The sequence below is a fragment of the Homo sapiens genome, chromosome 17, assembly GCF_000001405.40.
Source record: "Homo sapiens chromosome 17, GRCh38.p14 Primary Assembly".
NCBI classification, from domain to species: Eukaryota; Metazoa; Chordata; class Mammalia; order Primates; family Hominidae; genus Homo; species Homo sapiens.
In genome coordinates, this window is record NC_000017.11 from 60,120,641 (window position 1) to 60,145,393 (window position 24,753).

Here is a 24,753-nt window from a genome sequence, read left to right on the forward strand (position 1 = left end):
CTCCTGGATGCAAACGGTCGCCTTTTCCCCGCGCCGCCGGGGGTCATACAGGCAGCGCCTCGCCGCCCCCGCACGGCCTGGCCCGGAGCGACCCCCGCCGGGGGCGGCTCAGCAGGCCCGGCATGGCGCGGCGGGGCCTCCGCGAAGGCCAGCGCGAGTGAGTGCCAGGGGCGGGCGGGCAGGGGGCCGGCCCAGCCCGTGTCACCCGGCAGCAACCACGCAGCGTGAGTGTGCGGGCTGCCCAGGCAGCGCGGAGCGGAGAGAGCTGCGTGGGGCCACACTCACTCGCACTCACACCGGCGGACACGCCGGCCTGGGACCCCGTGCGCGCACTCCCTCGGGACAAGCGGGGAGCCAGCAGGACAGGGACCCACGGATCGCACACTCACTCACACGTTCCTGCAGGTGCCAGCACATGCGGGGCTCCGTTCGCTCTCACGGGACACACGAAGGTGTGCAAGGACAATGCAAGTGCACGCACACGTGTGCAGACACGTAGTGGAAGCATCCACTCGCTCATACCTGTAAGACACACACACACACAAACATATGCACACATACAGAGTTGGTTGAGGATGCTGTAACACAGTACACCCCCTAATGCACACACACACAGACACACGCACACACAGGTGATCAAGGGCACCCAGGGGAGAATCTTCCATACCCCCAAGGACCCCTAACAAGATGCACAAACATGCACCCATAGAAGTAATCAGGGGACCCTGGGCACAACTCCCTCTCTCCTTCCCCATCTACCAGGACGTGGAGTCACACTCCTAGGCATGTGTGGACAGGCTGCCTACACACGGGCAGGACATGTATATGCTCAACTGTACAAGGACACTGCGGGCACACTCTGCGCACACATATTCTCAGGTCACATAAACACAGCACTCTGTAACCTGGAGTCAGTCCCTCACTTGGTCAGTGAGTGGGCTGAAGCACCCACTGGGACAGGGTGGCTGAGAACCAGGACAGGGCCTGGTCAGGAGGGGTTGAGGGCAGGGCCTGGGAAGTGAGTGATGCAATGAGGTTGGGCAGTACCACCCCCCACCCAACCACCCACTGCAGGCCTCCCACATCATCGGGTCACTAAACAAATCCCAGAGGGCCCAGCCCCAGCTGTTGCCTGGCTTTCCAGAAACAGAACTCGGTTGGGAATCGCTGCTGCTTGGACAGGTCTGTCCCCAGAAAGCCCTGGGCATGGATGGAGTCCTGTCTACCCTCTGGTTTCCACTGACACATTTACCTACCAACATTCTGTCCAAGTCTCCTCTTCTGAGCCCTCACCAGAATCACCCTTAATGGAGAGTCACAGGGAGAAGACGTCCACCCGCGCATGAGAAGACAGGCCTGGAACAGAGCCTTCCTGCACAGCCTCAGAAGGGACCCACCTTGCTGACACCTTGATCTTGGACTCATGGCCTCCAGTACTGTGAGACAGTAACGTTCTGTTGTTGAAGGTGCCCAGTCTGTGGTACTGTAAAACAGCCCTAGGAAACTAACACAGCCTGTTAGCCCACAGATGGTGGAGAGATGGAATGCTCCATGGAGCTCCAGGCTTACTGTCTGCAGCCCCCAAAGTGTGCTCCGGGACCCTTGGGTGGGTGTAGGTATGCAAGGTAATTTGGGGTGGTTCAAGGTGAAGAATTTCAATTGACATAATAATGTATTTATCTTGCTGGGTAAATGAGGGATCCCCAGCTGTTAGGAACCAGGCTACACAGCAGGAGGTGAGCAGCCAGCCAGTGAGCAAAGCTTCATCTGTAGAAACAGCCACTTCCCATCCCTTGCATTACCACGTGAGCTGTGCCTCCTCTCAGATGAGCGGTGCCATTATCTCATAGGAGCGTGAACCCTACTGTGAACTGCGCATGCCAGGGATCTAGATTGCGTGCTCCTTATGAGAACCTAATGCCTGATGATCTGTGACTGTCTCCCATCACCCCCAGATGGAACCATGCAGTTGCAGGAAAACTAGCTCAGGGCTCCCACTGATTCCACATTATGGTGAGTTGTGTAATTATTTCATTATATATTACAGTGAAATAATAGAAATGAAGCACACAATAAATGTAATGGGCTTGAATCATCTCCACATCATCCCTTCCCCTTCTCCCGGGTCCGTGGAAGAATTGTCTTCAAGAAAACTGGTCTCAGGTAGCAAAAAGGTTGGGAACCGCTGGTGTAAATGCTTCAAGGAATAGTTAAGCAGCTTAAGGTTTACATGCTACAAAAAGTACAGGTTCAAACGCTAATAAAAATGGGTGCAAATGAAAACACTCTCTTGCTGTGGTCCAAGGAGTTTTAAGCATTCTATCAGAAAGACTTGCAGCTTGGAGCTGCAGCTGCCCTCCCACATCCTGTCCACTGTAACCCCTGCAACACACAAACACACATATGCACACACGCGTGCACACACACACACACACACACACACACACGCTGTGCTTCATGCCCTCACTTGGGTGGCCTGGGAGGGAATGTGTTTGTTTGTTTGTTTGTGTGTTTGTTTGTTTGTTTTTTGAGATGGAGTTTCACTCTTGTTGCCCAGGCTGGAGTACAATGGCGAAATCTCGGCTCTCTGCAGCTTCCGCCTTCTGGGTTCAAGCAATTCTCCTGCCTTCGCCTCCCAAGTAGCTGGGATTACAGGCATGTGCCACCATGCCTGGGTAATTTTGTATTTTTAATAGAGATGGGGTTTCTCCATGTTGGTCGGGCTGGTCTCGAACTCCCGATCTCAGGTGATCCGCCTGCCTCAGCCTTCTAAAGTGGCGGGATTACACGCATGAGTCACCGCGCCCAGCCGGGAATGCATGCTTTTAGGAGAAACGAAGACAACTCAGGCCCCTCATTCTCCTGGTGTTTGCACAAGTGCCTTCTCCACAGACCATGCTTCAGTCTCTTTCTTAGTTCTCCTTCTTACTGAAAGAGAGAAGCAGAGTCCCATCATGTACCCAGCTGCTTGGGGCCCAAGCCAAGTGTGCAAGCTTCCTGGGGAGCCTAGTGAGTGGAAGGCACTGCAGACTCTCCCCAAAGAAGCATCAGTTTTTGATGGATCCTTGAGCCCAGGAAGGCAATAGACAAGACATCATGGTTCACCAGAAGAGACAACAAAAATGCGGTGAGGAAGGGCAGTAGTCAAAGGTTTTATGCTCCATGAGAAGGGGTTCTCAGGGCTCTAAGCAGCAGGCAGACTTTATTGCATGTGTGGTTAGGTGATGGCGACCTACAGTTTTCACTGGGAACTGGGATCAAGAGTAACTCGACCTCCTACTCCTGCACGTCTCTCTCTGTCTCTTTGTGTTTTGTATCTCTCTCCCCATCTCACCCTCCTTATCCTCTCAGCCTCCTCTGTCTCTCTCCAAATCTCTCTTCCTCTCTCACTTTCCCTTCTCCTCATCTCTCTTTCTCTCTCCTTCTTTTCCAGTTCTCTCTCCCTCCTCATCTCGCTGCATGCCACTGTTCACGCTCCTGGGGCTCCACGTGGACAGGTGGACATGGGACTCCTAGGCTAATTTTCACGGCACAAGCACAGGGCTGCAGGACCTTGGTCCCCCACCTCCCAGCACCCTCAAAATGAGAGGTGTGGGGTCTGCCCGTGCTCTCCTGGGTGGGCGTCCCACGCTCCAGGAAGCAGAAACTGCAGGACAAAGCTGGCGCAAGTGACATGCCCGCGTGGCTGCCGGCTTCCATCTTGGGATCTGCTGAGGCCAAAGCAGAAGACACCTGCCCCGGACCGACCCTGCACCAGGGTAGGGGTAGGGGTGGGTTTGGGGGTGGGAAGGGCGATGGGAGCAGACACTGCAAAGCAGTCCCTGGCTGGCTTCCTGCCCCGCACCCTGCCATGCGAGGCCTCTCCTCCCGCCCCCAGCCCTGCCCCTCACCACCTCCACCCCTAGGCTGTCCAGATCCAGGCTCCAGAAGTCTCCTAGGATCCAAGAACTAAGGGCAACCACTGGGCTCCGCAGCCCCTAGTCCATGAGTCAGCCACCCCTCTGCATGCTGACAAACCTTGGCTGTCACTTATCCTCCACCCCAAACCAGCCCCAGCCCCATCCTATTGCAGGCCTGTGTGGCTGCTGGAGAGGCTGGGCTCCCTTCCTCACCCTGAGGCTGCCTGATATGCTTTCTGGATCCTGGAGAAAACTGACCCACTATTCTCATACTGGTGCAACTTCTTCCAAGACCTCAAAACTGGACCACATGAACTTGTCTTCCTTCTTGTTTCTCCTTGCTAGGGCTGTCATTGGGACAGTCCGAGATGGGGGGTCGGGGGAGACAATGGATGAATGGATGGATGAATGGACGTCCCCCCACCAGCATTACCACCTCCTCCTAAACATAGTCCTGAGAGCTCTATTTCCTGGTAAACTTCCCCCTTCCCACCCTGGTCCAGAGAAGCCCAAAGGCCAGTGCCCTCCACCCACGCTTCCTGGGGTACACTCTACTCTCTTCTTGCCCAGATGTCTTAACCTGGCTCTACCAAGCTAGAACAGATAGCAGGGATGAGCCCCCAGCCTCTACCAGGAAGATTTGCCAAAATGTTCTCAGTTTAGAAGCAGGGGCAGTGACGGGGCCTAGGGATGACCCCAGGGTTGTCACTCAAGCAACAAGAAGGGCAAGGAGCCCTGTTTCCTGCCCTTATCCTGGGAGAACTTGGCCAGGGCTCCACAATGCCCTGCAGGGGCAGGAGGAGAACAAATACACCCTTCTCTGGAGGAAGTCACCACCATCCCCAGGAAGCAGGAGATGGGAGCACACTGGCAGAGCCCTCGCGTGCTATAGGGCAAGGCCGGCAGGTCTGTACTCAGCCTCAGCCCCAGGGGAGCTGCAACATAGACTGAGACCCTCACATGTTTGGCTCTGTGTCCCCACCCAAAACTCATCTGGGATTGTAATCCTCCTGTGTCAAGGGAGGAATCTGGTGGGAGGAGATTGGATTTGGGGACAGTTTCCCCCGTGCTGCTCCCCGGATAGTGAGGTAGTTCTCAGGAGAGCTGATAGTTTCAAAGTGTGGCACTTACTGGTTCTCCACTCACTCCCTCCTGCCGTCTTGTGAAGAAGGTGCCTGCTTCCCCTTCCCCTTCTGCCATGATTGTAAGTTTCCGGAACTGCAAGTCAATTAAGCCTGTTTCCTTTATAAATTACCCAATCTCAGGTATTTCTTTACATCAGTGTGAAAACAAATGAATACAGTCCCCTTCCCTGAGGTGCCTTCCCCTTAGGCAACCAGCTGCCCCCATGCTCCTCTTCTGCCCCCTGGTATTTCCTTTCCCCTCATGAGGCCCAAGTGATCCACATGGCCAGCCCCAGCCCCATCCTACTGCAGGCCTGTGTGGCTGCTGGAGAGGCCAGGCTCCTTTCCGCACCCCGAGGCTGCCCGATATGCTTTCTGGATCCTGTAGAAAACTGACCCACTATTCTCATACCGGTGCAACTTCTTCCAATACCTCAAAACTGGACAACGTGAACTTATCTTGTTGCTTGTCTCTTCTTGCTAGGGCTGTCATTGGGACAGTCCGAGATGGGGGGGTGGGGGGAGACAATGGATGAATGGATGGATGAATGGACAGTAGTCCAGGGAGATGTCCCTGTGTGTCCTGAACTGGGCCCTTCCTCCAATGAGAAGCCTTCCTGAGTGAGTTTCTACAGTCATCCCTTGGTATCCATGGATTAGTTCTAGGGTCCCCGGGGATGACAAAATCCATGGATCCTCAAGTCTCTGACATAACATGGCCTAGTATTTACATATCAGCTATGCACATCCTCCTGTAGACATTAGACCATCTCTAGATTATTCAGGATGTGTAATACAATGCAGATGCTACATAAATGGTCGTGATACTGTATTCTTTAGGGAATAATGACAAGAACAAAGTCTGCACATGTTCAATAGAAATATAACTGTCCAATTTATTTTCTGAATATTTTCCATCTGCTGTTGCTGAATCTACAGATGCAGAGCTCCTGGATATGAGAGCCAAGTGTGCTTTGAGAGTAGGGTGGGTGAGGTTGCTAATGAGTACAGGGGAGCAGGTGTTGATCAGGAGGACCCTGCACTGGGGCATCTGGACGTCCTGCCTCAGGACTTGAGACTCCAGTTGGATGGCACAGGCAGACTCGGCACAGGCAGACTCAGCCCAGGTCAAAGCCCTCCCCTTGGATGTTCATTTTATCCCAAGCTCTTTCTGGACCCTGGAATTTGGCATCCCCTAGGCCCTGCGTGGAAGGACAGATGAACCAGGTTTTAGATAACACGTCTAGAAGAGTGAGCCCCTACTGTGTGCCCGGCACTTTCCCCACAGGATCCTCTAGCTAGAATATCCAAGGGTCATGGAGAGAAATACCCAGTTAAAATATCAGAAACGAAAAAGAGATACAATTAGAGACACTAAAAAGACCATTAGGGACACTAAAAAGACCATTAGGTAATAGTATTAGTATTTGTATTCTGAGATCCAGCAGCAGCAGCAGTCACTTCCCTCCACCCCTATGTGTATCCCAGGACCACCCTGGGCGGGGAGGGCTGAGGTTAGGGAGCAGCCAGGGATGCTCTGATGCTGGCCCTGGGCCTCGGGGGTGACAGTGATGAGGAACTGGGTGCACATGAGTGGGGCAGCCAGGCCTGGCCAGAGAAGCAACATACACGTGCACAGACGTGTTTATCCACGTACACGTGTGCACGCACGTGCACACATTGCAGGCAGGCACGTTGTGGCACTTTCTAGCTGTACCCTATGCTTGGGAGAACTACTGTTTCGTGTTACCTCCACAGCTGGCTTTATTTCTGTTACCTCAGCGGGATCAATGGCAGGGCAGATGTTTACTTTGAACTAGGAGCTGAGTTATACTTTGTCAGATTCAATGAGGTGACGCTGTATAAAGGGTCTGGTTCAGGGGCAGGCTGTGAGTAAGGGCTCAATAAATTACAACTCTAATGACTAGCTATAAATTATCAGCCACATTATTAGGACAGCAATGGCCCAGACTTGATAGGAGCCCAAGGGACAGCACCTAACCCAGCCAGTGGAAGGGAGATTGGGGAAGGCTTCCTGGAGGAGATAAGGACTGGGCTGAGTCTTAGAAGGTGAGCAGACACCAACTAAAGAAGGTGAGAAGGGCAATCCAAGCAGAGGAAACCAAATGAGAGGGAGCACAGGGCTGGGGTGCGCCAGAGCATCTTGTGAAGGGCAGGAGTCTTGAGAGATGAGACTGGGGAGGTCTGTGGAGCCAGGGGGGTGAGCTTGCTTGCTGGGGTTACTGGTTTTTCTACAATGAGTAACACAATCCTGATTTTATAGGGGAGGAGACAGCCTCAGTGATGGTCACTTGATTTTAGAAGATGGAGCTCAGCTACCTCTGAGTCATAGGATAGAATGCTAAGGCACAGGCTGGGCACGGTGGCTCATGTCTGTAATCCCAGCACTTTGGGAGGCTGAGGTGGACAGATCGCTTGAGCCCAGGAGTTCAAGACCAGCTTGGACAAGATGGTGAAACCCCATCTCTACAAAAAATACAAAAGTTAGCCGTGTGTAGTGGCACACGCCTATAGCTCCAGCTACTCAGGAGGCTGAGGTGGGAGGATGGCTTGAGTCCAGGAGGTCGAGGCTGCAGTGAGGCGAGGACATGCTACTGCACTCCAGCCTGGGCAACAGAGAGAGCAGGAAGCAAGGAAGAAAGGAAAGAAGGAAGGAAGGAAAGGAAGGAAAGAAGGAAGGAAGGAAGGAAGGAAGGAAGGAAGGAAGGAAGGAAGGAAGGAAGGGAGCCCAGACAGGGAAGGGACTCACCTAAGTAGCCCTGCATGGAGGGAGCTTTGGTTTTCCCACCCCATTTCCAGTGCTCCTTCCATGCCCTCCCCCTGCCTTCCTCTCACTGGAAACAGCCTCTACCTGACCTTGTCCTCTGCATCCTCTGATAGGTAGCTGATACCAGACAAGGTTTTGCAGGGACTCCAGGTGCCCCTCGGTGTCTGTTGAGATTAAACCCAATGCAAAATAAGGCTTAATCCCAAATCTGCAATGGAGAAGAAAGACAGGAAGTTTCCTTCTTGCCTGGGCCAGAAAAGGCTGCAGGTCCTGTCCCTTCCCTTCACCCCACCGTCCAAGTCCTCCCTGGGCTGTTCAGGGATTCCTAGGGGGTCAACAGAGAGGGGTGAGAGCTGGAGGCGGTCACTGGGGTATGACGGGGCCTCCTTGACAGAGCAGGTGGTGAACTTTCTGCCTTTAAATATTTTGAAATAGCAACAGACAGAAGAAAGCACAAAAAATCCCAGATGGCACATTATTTCCTCCAGCCCGGTGTCCCCCCACCTCCCAGGGTCCCAGGCACAGGAGCCCAGGTTCACACCAGCAGGAGGCTAGGACTGGAAATTCTGCAGACTTTCCAAGCGTGTTTATTCACATTCCTGTGGGCCCCCAGGACCCTGCTGAGCTTCCCAATATTAGCTGAGAAAGAAAAAAAGCACTTCCTGACATCCGGAGCAGATTTGACATTCATGGTTAGACCTCAATGTTGTCACAAACTCATCTGACTTTCATGGGGAACATTAACAAACTCACAGAATTCCAACCTCCAATAAGGTTACTCTGAGACCATGATAAAATGAGGCAAGGCAAGGCCATGTCATAATTTTGTCTAAGCACTGACAAAAACAAGGTCACTATGCTGTCACCCATAAAATACCAAATAATCTCTCTCGGCTAAAGTGAGTGACTGCTATCCTTTGAACAGATTTATAAAGATCTAATTCACATACCATTTAACTCATCCATTCAAAGTGTATAATTTGGTGGCTCATGCCTGTAATCTCAGCACTTTGGGAGGCCAAGGTGGAGAATCGCTTGAGCCCAGGAGTTCGAGACCAACCTGGGCAACATAGCGAGACCCTGTCTCTACAAAATAATAAATTTTAAAAATTAGCTGAGCATTGGGAGTTCAAGACCAGCCTGGACAACACGGTGAAACCCTGTCTCTACTAAAATACAAAAAATTAGCCAGGTGTGGCGGCATGCCCCTCTAGTCCCAGCAACTCAGGAGGCTGAGGCAGGAGAATTGCTTGAACCTAGGAGGCAGAGGTTGTAGTGAGCCAAGATCGTGCCACTGTACTCCAGCCTCAGCTACAGAGTGAGATACCATCTCCAAAAAAAAAAGGCTGAACATGATGGTGCACAACTGGTAGTCCCAGCTATTTGAGGTGGGAGGTCGAGGCTGCAGTGAGCTATGATTATACCACTGCACTCCAGCCTGGGCAACAGAACAAGACTCTGCCTCACAGAAAAAAAAAAAAAAAAAAAAAAAAAGAAAAGAAAAAATGTACCTATCAGATACTATGCTTTTTACTGGAGTGATGAAATAATCTGTACACTAAACCCCCATAACACACAATTTATCTATATAACAAACACACACATGTACCCCTGAACCTAAAAGCTAAAAACATTGAAAAAATTATATTCACTGAAGCGTGCAACCATCACGTTATATTTATTTATTTTAATTTTTAATGTTTGTGAGTACATAGTAGGTGTATTTATTTATGGGGTATATGAGATGTTTTGATACAGGCTTACAATGCATAATAATCACATCAGGGTCAACAGGGTATCTATCACCTCATGCATTTATCCTTTGTGTTTCAAATGATCCAATTATATTCTTTTAGTTAATTTTAAATGAAGTTAAATTATTTTTTACTACAGTCACTCTGTTGTACTAGCAAATACTAGGTCTTATTTGTTCTAATTTTTTTGTACCCACTAACCATCCCCTCTTCCCACCCCCGCCCCACTGCTACCTTTCCCAGCCTTTGATAATCATCCTTCTACTCTTTATGCCCATGAGTTGAATTGTTTTAATTTTTAGCTCTCACAGGTAAGTGAGAACATGCGATGTTTGTCTTTCTGGCTTATTTCACTTAACATAATGACCTCCATTTCCATCTATGTTGTTTCAAATGACAGGATCTCATTCTTTTTTATGGCTAAATAGTACTCCATTGTGTGTATGTACCACATTTTCTCTACCCATTCGTTTGTTGATGGACACTTAGGTTGCTTCTAAATCTGGGCTATTGTGAATAGTGCTGCAATAAACACAGGAGTGCAGATATCTCTTAGATATACTGATTTCCTTTCTTTTGGGTACATACCTAGCAGTGGGATTGCTTGATCGTATGGTAACTCTATTTTTAGTCTTTGAGGAACTTCCAAACTGTTCTCCATAGTGATTGTATTAATTTACATTCCATCAATGGTATATGAGGGTTCCCTTTTCTCCACAACCTCACCAACATGTGTTACTGCCTGTCTTTTGGACAGAAAACATTTTAACTGGGGTGAGATGACATCTCATTATAGTTTTGATTTGCATTTATCTGATGATTAATGATGTTGAGCACCTTTTTATATGTTTGTTTGCCATTTTTTTTTTTTTTAAGACAAGGTCTCACTCTGTCGCCCAGGCTGGAATGCAGTGGTGCAATCTCAGCTCACTGCAACCTCTGCCTCCCGGGTTCAAGCAATTCTCCTACCTCAGCCTCCAGAGTAGCTGGGGTTACAGGAGCCCACCACTACAACTGGCTAATTTATATATATATTTTTAGTAGAGACAGGGGTTCACCATGTTGGCCAGGATGGTCTCAAACCCCTGACCTCAGGTGATCCACTTGCCTTGGCCTCCCAAAGTGCTAGGATTCTAGGAGTGAGTCACTGCGCCTGGCCCTGTTTGCCATTTGTATGTCTTATTTCTTTTTTTTTTGAGACAAAGTTTCGCTCTTGTTGCCCAGGCTGGAGTGCAATGGCACAATCTTGGCTCACTGCAACCTCCACCTCCCAGGTTCAAGCGATTCTCCTGCCTCGGCCTCCCTAGTAGCTGGGATTACAGGCATGTGCCACCACACCCAGCTAATTTTGTATTTTTAATAGAGACGGGGTTTCTCCATGTTGGTCAGGCTGGTCTCGAACTCCCGACCTCAGGTGATCTGCCCTCCTCAGTCTCCCAAAGTGCTGGGATTACAGGCATGAGCCACCGCGCCCGGCCTTATTTTTTTTTTTCAATGTAGAATATGTGTCTTCTTTTGAGAAATGTCTATTCAGATATTTTGCCCATTTTTAAATCGGATTATTCGATTTTTTTCCTATGGAGTTATCTGAGCTTCAGATGAGTGGTTTGCAAATATTTTCTCTCATTCTGTGGGTCTCTTCATTGATTGTTTCCTTCGCTGTTCAGAAGCTTCTGAACTTGATGTGGTCCAGCATGCTAAATTCAGAACATTTCCATCCCCAACATTTCACCCCAAGAAGAAACCCCACCCCCCTGAGTCATTACTTCCAAATCCTCCTCTCTCCCCCCAACCCTTGACACTCAGCCTCCCAAGTAAGTAGGACTACAGGTACATGCCACCACGCCTAATTTTCTTTTCTTTTTTGTTTTTGAGGAGATGAGGTCTTGCTATGTTGCTCCAGCTGGTCCTTCACTTATTTAATCCTACCAGCTAGTGTTCTGGTATCTCCTCTGAATTTTTAATTAATTTCACTTCCAGAGAATTAAGTATTATTTTTGTTGACAGTTTGTTCTCTCAAACAGCATTGCATTTAGTAATACTTTTTTAGTTGTTGGGGTTTTTGTTTTTTCAAATGTTACTAATTTGTTTCCCTTTCCAGCTGAAGAAATAGTGACCAGGGGAGTAAATATTCTCAGGCCACTGTGTTTGTATATTATGGACAATCAAGAAAGAACTAGGGTATGTTAGAGACAGAACTCCAGAGGTCAGGTCATCTCCGTCTACTCACTTGGTGGACTTGGCTAAGTCACGTGATCTCTCTGGGCCTCCATTTCTTCATCTATAAAATGGACTAATACTTTCAACCTAGTACATGAAAGAAAATATGCTGATTGAACCAATCCTACTCCTGTTGCAACCTCACACCAGAGCACAGGCTGGGTGTTCATGTATGTTCCCTTGCCTGGTCTCTGGCTTTCCCTCTAGGAGATATCCTTCTTAACTCTGGTGCTCCTGGGAGCTGGGCTAAAGCTGATCTCTCGATTCTTGCCTCTGCCCAGTTTCATTGCAGGCAGCCTCCACTGAACTATGCCCACATCATCATCCCTGAATGGAAGATCTATAGCATGATGAGGTTCAATCAAATCCTGCTAAACAAACAAACAAAAAGCCACTGGCCTGATCGGTTGTAATATATTCTTTACAAAGTCCTTTATGATACTTATCTTAGTAAAAAATGGTGTTAAAACTTTGCCATATATGCCAGGCATGGTGGCTCACGCCTGTAATCCCAGCACTTTGAGAGGCCGAGGCAGGTGGATCACCTGAGGTCGGGAGTTCGAGTCCAGCCTGACCAACATGGAGAAACTCTGTCTCTACTAAAAATACAAAATTAGCCGGGCGTGGTGGCGCATGCCAGTAATCCCAGCTACTCAGGAGGCTGAGGCAGAAGAACTGCTTGAACGTGGGAGGCAGAGGTTGCAGTGAGCCCAGATTGCACCATTGCACTCCTGCCTGGGCAACAAGAGCGAAACTCCATCTCAAAAACAAAAACAAAACAAAAAAAAACCCCCAACTTTGCCATATTGCTTATGTGGTATATCTTAATCTATAACAAAGTGACACCCGTGTCAGCCAGCCTACACCCCTGGAAATCAGCCTTCCTTGCTTAGGGCTCCAGCAAGGCTCTCCCCACCCTAGCTGGTCTCCTGGGAAAAAGAGGAATTCAGGCAGCAACAGTCAAGCAAGCAGGTGCTTCAGCAAGCAAGTAATCCATCTCAAGAAGCCGTAACCAGCGATCGTTCAACAATTCTTAGGAGTCTTGTGAAGTCTGCAAGCTCCATAAACGAGGGCTCTTGCATGTCCTCAGGTGAGCTCTGCTTTGTTGTCATCTTATTGAAGTGGACCCACAGCAGCAAGGTGAGCAAAGCCAAAGGAAGCCCCCTGCCTGAGTCTAGCTCAGGTGAACTGACAGTCCAGACAGGACAACCGAGAGGGACCCTGTTTTCATACTGCTATAAAGAGCTGCCCATGGCCAGGCGTGGTGGTGGGCGCCTGAGGCAGGAAAATCACTTCAACCCAGGAGGTGCGGGTTGCAGTAAGCCAGATCACACCACTGCACTCCAGCCTGGGTGACAGAGTGAGACTCTGTCTCAAAAACAAAACAAAACAAAAAGGCCGGGCACGGTGGCTCACATGTGTAATCCCAGCACTTTTGGTGGCCGAGGTGGGCAGATCACTTGAGGTCAGGAGTTGGAGACCAGCCTGGCCAACATGGTGAAACTCCGTCTCTACTAAAAATACAAAAATTAGCTGGGCGTGGTGGTGTGTGCCTGTAATCCCAGCTACTTAGGAGACTGTGTCAGGACAATCGCTTGAACCTGGGAGGTGGGGGTTGCAGTGAGCCGAGATCACGCCACTGCACTCCAGCCTAGGTGACAGAGTGAGACTCCATCTCAAAACAAAACAAAACCAAAAAACTACCCAAGACTGGGTAAGTTAGAAAGGAAAGAGGTTTAATTAACTCACAATTCTGCATGACTAGGGAGGTCTCAGGAAACTTACAATCACGGCAGAAGTGGAAGCAAGGCACCTCTTTCACAAAGCAGCAGAAAGAAGTGTGGAGTGATGGGGGAAGAGCCCCTTATAAAACCATCTGATTTCCTGAGAACTCACACACTATCATGAGAACGGCATGGTGGAAACCACCCCTACGATTCAATTACCTCCACCAGGTCTCTCCTTTGACACGTGGGGATTATGGGGATTACAATTTAAGATGAGACTTGGGTGGGGACACAAAGCACCTAACCATATCAGCCCTAAAGCCATGGCTGGAGAAGGCTCCTGCCAGAAGTCCACCCCGAAGCCCTCAGACTCCACTGTGGCCTTTCCTCACTCTGCTTCCTATCTCCATTTTTCTTTCCCTGAAGGAGGTTGCTCTATCAATGCCTCCCGTGACAACACATGCCCCCTCCTCCCCCACCCCCCAGGCTCAGCGATAAGGAAGCTGGTGCCCTGAATCCCTGCCCCACCCAAGACTCTTTCCTTTTCTTCCCACTTAGTCTACTTGAAACTCCTCTCTGTATTTTTTTAATTAAGTTACCCACCTCAGCTTTGTTTCTCAAAGGCTTTAACTTTTCCGGGAAGAGCTGCAATCGTTTCTTGGCAGGAGTAGTTTCAGGTTTGCATTGCTCTGAAAGAGACTCTCAGAAACACGGGACCTCCATTTTGGTGTCAGCACCGCACGCACCCCCACCCAAGCCAGCACCGTGGCTGGAAAGCTTACGTATAGGATAAGGGATGTGGGTGGAGTGGGAATTGACGTGGAGGATGTTGGAGATCAGATCAACAGATGCTACAAAAAAACCCAACCCCTCCCCACCGAAAGACGGCAATACTCAGGCTAGGAGCCGCTGCACTAGGTGCTAGGGACCCACTGAATTTTCACCAGAGCAGTGGCTTGGTCAGATCTCTATTTCCAGAAACATCGCCCTGGAATCCTTTCCTTGGCGTGGAAGGAGAAGTTGACCCCGAAGAGTTACTCAGTCAAGGGCGACTCATTGCTCCACTCTAAGGTTTCTCTAAGCACAGGGCGGTGGCGAAAGGGAAGGGCTGCAGGGTGGAGTCCGGCACCAAGACCTCCCGGCCCGGCTTCTAGCAGCACACGGACGCTTGAGATGATTTCTTCTGAAAACGGGCAGTGGTTGAAAACCACTGCTTCAAAACACAGACTGGAGGAGTGGTAAATACTAACGAGGAGTTTTAGCAATGGACTCTGTTAACAGAGTCTGGTCGCCTGAGAAGGGCCTCGGAGGACTGGCCAGGTTGGAGAACGATTTCAACTGCGTACTGGACGACACACAGAAGACTGCGGGGAGCCTTAGCCCCTACCCGGCCTGCAGTGCTCTCTGGGGCACACGGCAGCCCCACGACGCCTTTGGGTTTCTTCGAGCGCTACTCGCACGCACCAGCGCCCACACAGCTGCAACGCCAAACGCCCGCCAGCACCTTAGGGCCGCGGGAGTCCCTTCCCCAGGCCCGCCCCACACGCCGGCCTTTTCTGCCGCTTCCCAAGCCGGAGCCAATCAGCGCTCAGCAGCGACCGGCAGGGACGACCAATCGACTTATCCTGCGTTGTGCTAAAGACCTAGAAATCGAGCGTGGTACATTCGATCGACGGAACGTCTGGGCCCTAGTGCTAAGTTGGGTGACTGTTCGGTGGTTGTCTCGGGGGGTTGCAGGAAGATCCTGTTTCCTTGGCGTAGAAGGAGAGGTTGACCCCGAAGAGTTAAGATTCTCGAAGCACACTATTTATCCGTGGCCCTCCTCCTCCTTCGCGGGGTAGCTTGGGGCAAGTCATCTATTCTCTCTAGATCTGTGTTCTGCCTAAAAATTAATGAATGGGACAAAATGGTCTCTACAGTCCCTTGTTTATCCTGGCCCTGCAAATCCAGGATCGCTGCCGTTGTATCTCAGTCTGATGTCGGTGGTCTTGCGCTGGCCGGTGTTCTGAAACTTTGTCGGCAGTAACATGCACTCCAGTCAGTCTCTTCAGTCCAGGACACCATCGCCGGGGAAACTGAGGCATAAGAAAAATAAAAATGAGCATTGTCCATCCACAAATATGTATTGTGCTCCCGTTGTGTATCTGGCACTGCCCTGGTGCTGGGTCCCCTATGAGAAACAGGCATGGTCCTTGTGCCCCTAGTTATAAACTATGTCACTTCCATCAGACTCTGAGATCCCCAGGGAGGAGCTGTACTCTCATCAAGCTGCTCTCATCAGCAGACAGGAAGGAGACAGACTTGTAGGCCTGCATGCTCCTGTGCTCCTCTTGAACTCCCAGCTCAGCCACTGGCTGCCTTTTACCCACAGATCTGAAAGGAGCCAGGGCGGACAGGCTCCAGCAGTACCTCTTTTCTTGAGGAAGCCACCTTCTCCTGGCTGTCCAACCCTGAAAGGACCTTGGAAGTTTGGGGGAGTCCCTCTTGGCACTCTGATTTATCCAGAATGCACCTAATCACCCTCTACACATGCACACCCGCCCCCCCCCCCCCCCCGACACACACTCCTCCAGCCTGATACCCTGCTGGGGTTCTTTTGCAGAGTTTTGTCTTGAGGTCATCAGAGAGGTCGTGCTCCATGGGGCATTGAAGCACCACAGAGAAAAACCCCTGCAAGGCCAGGAAAGCATCTGAGAGGCATCTGAAGTCAGAAGGCCTGTGCCGGAATCCTAGCTGTTTCTGGCAGTGTGGTCTGGGTAATTTAACTTCTACCAGCACCATGTGTATAAATGAACATCATCACAGCACATACCTCACAGATTGCTGAAAGGATTAAATGAAATGATGGATATAACTCACTTGCAGCATGCCTGGCAGAGACATATAGTAAATGGGCAAGAATTGGGAGCTACTGTTATTATTGTGTTATTGTGATTATATTCAGCAGGAAGGAGGCCTCCCAGGCTAGGCGCCAGTCCTTGATGAGAAGGTGCCCACTTTATGTCCTCTCCTGTTTCTAACTCTCCTCTTCTGCCTTCTGTGGTCCCAGCTGAGTGGCTGTACCTCAGCAATATCCAGTTTCCTGCCTCAGAACATGAAGCCCAGATATACAAGCTGAAGGAGGGTGCCACATTTGAGAGGCAAGGGAAGATCAGGCGGGGACCCTGTGCTTCAGAGCTTTGGTCACATCCGCAAGGAGCACAGCAGGCCCTACCAGATAAACAGACAAAATCAGGAGGGCTCCAAGGTGGGACAGAGAAGGAAGATTGTTAAAAATTGAATCTGCTAGACTGGGCGTGGTGGCTCACACCTGTAATCCCAGCACTTTGGGAGGCCGAGGCAGGCGGATCACGTGAAGCCAGGAGTTCGAGACGAGCCTGGCCAACATGGCAAAACCCCATCTGTACTAAAAATACAAAAAATTAGCCAGGCGTGTGGTGCGAGCCTGTAGTCCCAGCTACTCGGGAGGCTGAAGCACAGAATTGCTTGAACCCGGGAGGTGGAGGTTGCAGTGAGCTGAGATCATACCACTGCAGTCTATCCTGGGCAACAGAGCAAGACTCTGTATATTTTAAAAAAAAAGGCAAAAATTGAATCTGCTGTGCCCAACCAAGCCATCAGCTGATCAGCTGTGGGGTCCTGCCCTGAATCATTTACTCCTCACCCTATCTCTGGGACCATCAGGGCAGGCAGGCAGCAGCAGATGTTTTCCAAGCTCTACTGCTCCCAGGCCAGCATGACATCTGCAGTGACCATTTTAACAGGCTGGACACCCTCGTGTCCCCCTACCACTTATCCTTGGCCCACTTGCCACTTGTGCCTTACCCAGTGGGGAGGGAGTGGCAAGGCCTTGGCTCTGGGTTCCACAGGTAGAGTTTTGCAGAGGAGTCCAGTGAACTCATTCTTTACAAAACCTACCCAGGCCTGCTTTCAGCCACCCCTCCTGCTAAGATTATATGTAATATATAATATTATATATAATTTTTTATAGAGACAGGGTCTTCCTCTGTCACCCAGGCTGGAGTACAGTGGCATGAACACAGCTCACTACAGCTGCAAACCCCTGGGCTCAAATGATCCTCCTATCTCAGCTTCTTGAGTAGCTAGGACTACAGGCATGCACCACCAGGCCTAGCTTTTTTTTTTTTTTTTTTTTTTCTGTAGAGATAAGGTCTCACTGTCTTGCTCAGGCTGGTCTGGAACTCCTGGCCAAGCCATCCTCCTGCCTTGTCCTCCCAAAAATGCTGGTATTACAGACATGAGCCACCGTGCCTGGCCAAGAGACTATATATTTTGAGCAGCTGCTGGAAAGCGGGGACTAAGTTCTGGTCTGAGGAGAACTTCCTGGGCGTCCAGGAAAGAAATATCTGACATTGTTGGTGCACAGTGAGTATAGTCCTCACTGGTCACCCAGAGGACAGGGTGTGGCTCCCTCCACAGTGTAGCTCCCTAGCCCCCAAAAGCTGGACCTGGGCTCTCCCCAGTCACCAGAGATCCCTCTCCTTCGTCCCCAACAAAGTGTTTGGCTGGCTGCAGCAACTGTGCAGACCCTGACTAGTGGACATTCCTAAGTACCAGGGGCTCGCCTTGTGTCCCGCCAGGCTGGTCCAGAAGGCTGTTGCGGGCAGGTGGGATAAGAAATTCAGGAAGCTGAAACAGCCAGAAGGTGGAACCTGGCCGGCTCGGGGGAACTGCCTGTGGAATGGCCCAGCGCTGAATGAGTGGAACAGTGGGTGGGCCTTGAAAGCGAACTCAGGAGATGGGGCGTTGTGTATAGGCAAGTCGCTAACCGGGAGCCCCGCGCCTCATTCCGACTGGATCAGGGGGCCCCGCCTGTCCACGGTCCCCATGCGCGGTGCGCTCCCCCTCCTAGGGCCGTAATTGCCGCAGCCATCCCTACGCGTCTCCAGCCCCCGTCGTCTTTGTCCATTCGGTTCCGAGGCCGCGCTTGGACTGGGGCGCCCACGACTGACCCCGGAGGCACAGCGAACGGGGCAGCTGCAGGGACTCCCTGTCCTGCAGGCGACTGGGCTCCCGCGAGGCAGCAGGTGCCGAGGACTAGCAGCAGATCTGGTGTGCAGAACCCTGGATTCGAGTCCCGGCTTCAGAGACCCTCGGCTGTGTGACGTGGAGGCGTCGGCCGCCCTCTGAGAGCCTTCGTGGATGACAGCTGATGCTTGGGCCTACCTTCCTCGGCTGCTGAGAGGCTCAGAAGGGACCGCGTGTAAAACGCCTTGGAATCTTAAATCTACTTAATTCCATTTACCTGCTTCCCAGAAACGGTCCATGGCTTCCGTCCCGGTCATAGCGCTGCGCAGCGGGACCGTTCTGCCCCGCTGCCCTCGAACAGCCCGTCCGCGCTCCATTGCCCCTCCAGGTGCCGTTATTTTGCCTTTTAACCTGGGGCGGGAGGTTTTAGACGAGGCTGCAAGTCTGGGCCAGCGGGGACCTGAGGGTCCCTTGCAACCAGCACCCGCGACGGTGTCTACACTGGAATTCCAAGGAAAAGAGGGCTCCAGGGGCGCGACCAAGGTTTGGTCTTCTGCTGAGCGCTGCTGGATGAATCGCCAGCCTTCGCCCGCGGCCCCCTCCTCCTCATCCCTGACCCCAACTCGACAAGATCCCCCGAGCGCAGGCCCAAACTCCGCACAGCTTGTGGGCCGTGAGGTCCGGGTCTCGAAGCTCGGTCCCGCTGGGGCTGTCCCTCCGCCTCTACTTCCAGGGTAAAGACCGCGGAACCAGGCGGGGGTCTGGGGAGCCTGGCTGCGACCTCGGCTGCAGGCTTCCGCAGCTGCTTCCAGGGTGCTGTCCACCCCGTGGTGCTGAAGTGCCCCACGCCCCTCCGCCACCTACCGGAAGCCGCGTCCGCGCTACAGCCTCCACTCAGGATTCGACCCGAACTCCAAGACGCGTCCGCACTGGTCCAACAACCCTCATGGATCGTCGCCTGCCTCAACTGTTTAGACCACCGCGGGTTTCACCCGGAAGCACCGGGGAGGTCGGAGCTTGCCTGAGAGGCTCAGCGAAGGTCCATGCCTTGTTCAGTCCCAGGCAGTGCGGGACAGGTGGGCGAAGCTCGAACCCCATGCTCTGTCCCGGCACTGGCAGGAATTCACTTATTATGGAGATAGTCCTCGCTCACTCCAGACCTGTCCTGTAATTGTCTGGGCCCCGGGAAGGTTTCCCTCGGTTTTTAGAATCTCAACCGCGGTGTGGCCATCCAAGCTGTGCCAACGCTACTACCTGCGAAGCAGGAGAGAAAAACCCCTGGAATTCCTCCCGCACATCTTTCACAAAGTGAATATGCCCTTCTTTGACACTGGGTACAGCCACTTCGGGACCAGATTTTTGCTCCTGAGCATATAAAATCACAAGCTTGGGCAGGCACAGTGGCTCATGCCTGTAATCCCAGCGCTTTGGAAGGCCGGGGCGGGCGGATCGCTCGAGCCGAGGAGCTCGAGACCAGCCTGGGCAACATAGTGAAGCCCCGTCTCCACAAAAAACATAAAAATGAGTCGGGAGTGATGGCACTGCACCTGTAGTCCCAGCTACTTGGGAGGCTGAGGTGGGAGGATCACCTGAGCCCAGAAAGTTTCAGTGAGCTATGATCACACCACTGCACTCCAGTCTGGGCAACAGAGCAAGACCATGTCAAAAAAAAAGAAAAGAAAGAAAAACAAAAAGAAAAGAAATGTCTTTCCTTTTTGGAAAGCTTGGATGACCACAAGGGGGTTGAGATTCTAAAAGCCGAGGGAAAGCTTCCCAGGGCCCAGCCTCCCCATACAATTCATAGGACAGGTCTAGAGTGAATGAGGGCTACTATATCCATAAAAAGAAAGAGAAAGGAAAGACAAGACAATATTGCCCAGTGAGTCAAGCATGATCGTAGCACAAAGAAGCAGGGCACTCTTCCCCAGAGCAGGCCAGTTCAGAGAGGCAGTCCAGGGCTATGCCCCAGTATGGCTCCCGCCGTGCTCCTGCGCGGTGTCCCAGGGCCTCCTGGCACCTTCTTATCATCAGCCTGGGGCGAAATGCCAGACCAGATGGTAGAGGCAGAAGTCAAGCAGGCAGGTGCCGTCCAGGGCATTCCAGGCCAGCTGAGTGTGCAGCCAGCGCCCAATTCAGACGGCGCCCCAGGCCAAGGCTGGCCCGCTTAGGGACCGCGCTCGGGCTGGACGTCGCGCTCAGCGCGCAGGGCCCCCATGGACGTCGCGCCGCTGACCTAGCTGTCAGACATCGCCACGAGGAGTAGGCAGGCTCGGGAGGCCGAAACGCTGTGCTCACCTCGAGCACTGCCAGGCTGCTGGAGAGGCTTTCCGGGGCACAGAAGCTGCAGCGGCGCGGGGCGGTGGGCTGTGAGCGAGCATATGTAGGGGAGCGTTTCCCGCGAGAAAGCAGAACCTGCGCCAGCCGAGGGCCCTAGGGCTGCTGGTAGGAGGACTGTTCTCTATCGTCCAGCTGCTCCCGACCTCTTCTCTGAACTGGCCCTGCTCTGGGGAACAGCGCCCTGCTTCTTTGTGCGACGATCACGCTTGACTCATTGGGCAACATTGTCTTGTCTTTTCCTTCCTTTTATGGACATAGTCCTCGCTCACTCCAGACTTGTCCTGTGAATTGTATGGGGAGGTTGGGCCCTGGGGAGCTTTCCCTCACGGCTTTTAGAATCTCAACACCCTTGCCGCCCGCCCTGGCTGGGTGGAGATACAACCAGAAGACAGACACCGCTCCCCTAAACCCCAGCCTCCAGTATAAGCTACAAAATAAAAATGTGGGCAGGGTGAGGTGGCTCATGCCTGTAATCCTAGCTCTTTGGGAGGCCGAGGCGGGTGGATCAGCTGAGCTCAGGAGTTAGAGACCAGCCTGGCCAACATGGTGAAACCCCGTCTTTACTAAAAATACAAAAAAATTAGCCCGACATGGTGGCGGGCATCTGTAGTCCAGGCTACTTTGGAGGCTGAGGCAGGAGAATGGCGTGAACCCGGGAGGCAGAGCTTGCAGTGAGCTGAGATCGCACCACTGCACTCCAGCCTGGACGGCAGAGAGACACTCTGTCTCAAAAAAAAAAAAAAAAAAAAAAAAAAATTAGCTGGGCGTGGTGGCTTGTGCCTGTAATCCCAGGGAGGCTGAGGTAGGAGGAGCACTTGAGCCAGGGAGGTGGAGTTTGCAGTGAGCCAAAATCACGTCACTGCATTCCAGCCTGGGCAACAGATTGAGACTCTGTCTCAAGAAAAGAAAGGAAAAAAAGAAAGAAAAAGAAAAGAAAAAAGAAAATGTGAAGCTCTTCTAAGTGCAGCTGCTCTGCAACTATGCAAGCCCCTGCCCCATGAAGCCAGGCCTGCCCCTAATCCTTTACCACACAAGGCTCATTAAACTTCGGAAATCTCGGAGTTACTTGCTAGGAAAAAGCCATTCCCCACTTCCCCATTTGCATAATAAACGGAGGGGCAGGGAAGACCCATCTAACCACCCCACGTGTACCCATGTGTCACCCTTATCAGATGCAGGAGGTGAGCTGAGCTGCCAAATGCTTGGCTTCTTTCTGGGGCTGTAATACAGCCATCCCTCCCCAGGGCCACACCTGGAGAAGGGAGTGGCTAGGACAGGGTCTTCAGGGAAACTGCTGCCTTATTCTCAACTGCTTGTCTCAGTCCCCATCCCCCCAACCCCCAACTCAATATCTAAGAGAGAGAGAGAGTAGTTCCAATAGGGAAGTCTCCTGAAGGAGGCTAAAGTTCTGGGTACTGGGTTTGGGGTGGACCTAAAGAGTTTTTTTTCAATTCTCTGAATGCTATTTCATTGCTGTTAAATGATACTCTTCCCCTAAATGGAAAGGAGACAGGAAGGACAGACTGGTCTACAGTTACACAGAAAGAACTTCCAAAGTATTAGACGAGCAGGGACAGCAGAGGGCGCCAATGTGGTGCAAGGGCACTCAGGGAGGAGTCGCCCACAAGCACATTTTTTTCTCACACGCTGCAAATCTATTCAGAACCACCTCACCCCCAACCTCACACATATTTCCCATCTCACAGGCACATCAGAGGTCAGAGTGAGGACTCCAGGCTCTGATTCTCCCACTGGCCGCCAAGGGACCTTCACCAGCCCCCACCGCACTCCTCAACTATTTTCATGAACTTAGTTAGGGCAGCTCCCCTCAGTAGGGAGCTGGGTAGAGGAGCTGAGACTCCCAGGTTCCCTGCCCATCCAGCGGCCCTGTCCATCTAGCGGGAAGGCGTTTGCTGCAATGTTCTTTATAATGGGGAGTGAGCTGATGATACAACCTGGGTGTACTGTGGAGCCACAAAATGAAAGTTGCAAAGGCTGCCCAGTAACACGGACTCAGGTTTACACTGAAATGTGGACATTAAAAAGCAGGACCCTCCATTGTTCACTATGTCAATAGCGCGCTTGCATATAGATAAAGGCTGCAGGGGACACAGAAAAATTAAACACGGATTGAGGTGAGGTGTTTTTTCTTAAAAATACATCAAATTTGTAAAATGATTGCCTCTGGGAAATAAGGTTATGAATAATGTTTCTTTTTCTCCTTTCCAAATGTTCTACAATGAGCAAGTGTTATTTGGGTAATCAGGAAAAAGAAGTTCACACACACACACACACCCCTGAAAGAGCTTGCTTGCTTCCTTCCTTCCTTTCTGCTTGCCTTCCTTCCTTCCTTTTTTTCTTTTTTTTTTTTCTTTTCTTTTTGAGACAGAGTCTTGCCCTGTCACCCAGGCCGGAGTGCAGTGGCATGATCTTGGCTCACTGCAACCTCTGCCTCCCGGGTTCAAGCGATTCTCCTGACTCAGCCTCCTGAATAACTGGGACTAGAAGCATGCGCTGCCACCACACCTGGCTAAGTTTTGTATTTTTAATAGAGATGGGATTTCACCATGTTGGTCAGGCTAGTCTCAAACTCCTGACCTCAGATGATCCACCTGCCTCCACCTCCCAAAGTGCTGGGATTACAGGTGTGAGCCCCCACCCCTGCTAGTCCTTTCCTTCTTCCTCTTTCTTTCTTTCTTTCTTTCTTTCTTTCTTTCTTTCTTTTCTTTCTTTCTTTCTTTCTTTCTTTTCTTTCTTTCTCTCCTTCTTTCTGTCTCTTTCTTTCCTCTCTCTTTTTTCTTTCTTTCCTCTCTCTCTCTGTCTCTCTCTCTCTTTCTTTCCTCTCTCTTTTTTTCTTTCTTTCCTCTCTCTCTCTCTGTCTCTCTCTTTCTTTCTTTCTTTTTACAGACAGGGTCTCACACTGTTGCACTGTTGCCCAGGCTGGAGTACAGTGGCATGCTCATAGCCCACTGCAGCCTCCATCTCGATCTCCCAGACTCCAGGGATTCTCCTACCTCAGCCTCCTGAGTAGCTGGGACTATAGACGTGCACCACCATACTCCCCTAATTTTTTATTTTTTGTAGAGACAGGGTCTCTCTATGCTGCCCAGGCTGTTTTCAAACACCTGGGCTCAAGTGACCTTCCTGCCTCAGCCTCTCAAAGGGCTGGGATTACAGGTGTGAGCCATTGTGCCTGGCCAAGTCTCTTTTTTCTTTCCTTTTCTTTTCTTTTTCTTCTTTCTCTCGCTCTCTCTCTTTTTTTTGAGGCAGAGTCTCACTCTATCACCCAGGCCCCAGGCTGGAGTGCAGTGGTGTGATCTTGGCTCACTGCAGCCTCCACCTCCTGAGCTCAAGTGATTCTCCAGCCTCAGCCCCCCAGGTGGCTGGGACTACAGGCATGTGCCACCATGCCCAGCTCATTTTTGTATTTTCTGTAGAGACCGATTTCACCATCTTGCCTAGGCTGGATTCGAACTTCTGGGCTCAAGCAACCTGCCAGGCTTGGCCCCTCAAATTGCTGGGATTACAGGTGCGAGCCACCGCCAAGCCACCCGCGAGCCTGTTTTCTTAATGTTGTCACAATGTTAATTAAGGAAGGACCATTCCTTTCCCCACCAAAGTTGCTCGTGTGGCTCTTCTTCTCCCCAACCCAATTCCCCCTCATCACCCTCTTTAGGGGATCCCTCCACCACAAAACCAGAATGTAAATGAACACACTTGCAAAATCTGACCTCGCTCTGATCCCAGTGTCCTGCTGGTGTGAGCCTGGGCTGTTGTGGCCAAGATGCTGAGAGGGGAGGGGACGACCACGGGGGAGTATTCCTGAGTTTTCTGCAGGAGAGGAACAGAACATATGTCACCTCTATCACTGGGTTTTTCCACACGTATTACTGCTATTGTTATTTCAAAATGTTC

At 51.4% G+C, this 24,753-nt stretch overlaps 1 long non-coding RNA gene across 7 annotated transcripts, besides 6 other annotated features; it reads right to left on the reverse strand.

Moving 5' to 3' along the window:
- Window positions 1-2,022: 2,022 nt before the first annotated feature.
- On the reverse strand, window positions 2,023-15,004 carry LOC100996660 (uncharacterized). Of its 7 annotated transcripts, NR_187525.1 has the most exons (5): window positions 14,116-15,004; window positions 11,796-11,872; window positions 8,316-8,450; window positions 7,901-8,019; window positions 5,895-6,225 (listed from the first exon to the last, which is right to left on the reverse strand). It is a non-coding gene; the product is annotated as an uncharacterized LOC100996660 (long non-coding RNA). The 7 variants fall into 7 exon arrangements; NR_187528.1 differs by lacking the exon at window positions 8,316-8,450; NR_187526.1 differs by lacking the exon at window positions 7,901-8,019.
- Window positions 14,676-14,735: an enhancer, noted in NCBI's record as "active region_12525". NCBI's record gives its function as "activates an Ori minimal core promoter by ATAC-STARR-seq in GM12878 lymphoblastoid cells {active_cell/tissue: GM12878}" and the evidence as "EXISTENCE:reporter gene assay evidence [ECO:0000049][PMID:35858748]".
- Window positions 14,846-14,945: an enhancer, noted in NCBI's record as "active region_12526". NCBI's record gives its function as "activates an Ori minimal core promoter by ATAC-STARR-seq in GM12878 lymphoblastoid cells {active_cell/tissue: GM12878}" and the evidence as "EXISTENCE:reporter gene assay evidence [ECO:0000049][PMID:35858748]".
- Window positions 18,416-18,949: an enhancer, noted in NCBI's record as "H3K27ac-H3K4me1 hESC enhancer chr17:58216417-58216950 (GRCh37/hg19 assembly coordinates)". NCBI's record gives its function as "activates a minimal SCP1, AML or CMV promoter by ChIP-STARR-seq in naive H9 embryonic stem cells {active_cell/tissue: H9 hESC(naive)}" and the evidence as "EXISTENCE:reporter gene assay evidence [ECO:0000049][PMID:30033119]".
- Window positions 19,484-20,017: an enhancer, noted in NCBI's record as "H3K4me1 hESC enhancer chr17:58217485-58218018 (GRCh37/hg19 assembly coordinates)". NCBI's record gives its function as "activates a minimal SCP1, AML or CMV promoter by ChIP-STARR-seq in naive H9 embryonic stem cells {active_cell/tissue: H9 hESC(naive)}" and the evidence as "EXISTENCE:reporter gene assay evidence [ECO:0000049][PMID:30033119]".
- Window positions 20,674-21,230: an enhancer, noted in NCBI's record as "H3K27ac-H3K4me1 hESC enhancer chr17:58218675-58219231 (GRCh37/hg19 assembly coordinates)". NCBI's record gives its function as "activates a minimal SCP1, AML or CMV promoter by ChIP-STARR-seq in naive H9 embryonic stem cells {active_cell/tissue: H9 hESC(naive)}" and the evidence as "EXISTENCE:reporter gene assay evidence [ECO:0000049][PMID:30033119]".
- Window positions 21,937-22,446: an enhancer, noted in NCBI's record as "H3K27ac hESC enhancer chr17:58219938-58220447 (GRCh37/hg19 assembly coordinates)". NCBI's record gives its function as "activates a minimal SCP1, AML or CMV promoter by ChIP-STARR-seq in naive H9 embryonic stem cells {active_cell/tissue: H9 hESC(naive)}" and the evidence as "EXISTENCE:reporter gene assay evidence [ECO:0000049][PMID:30033119]".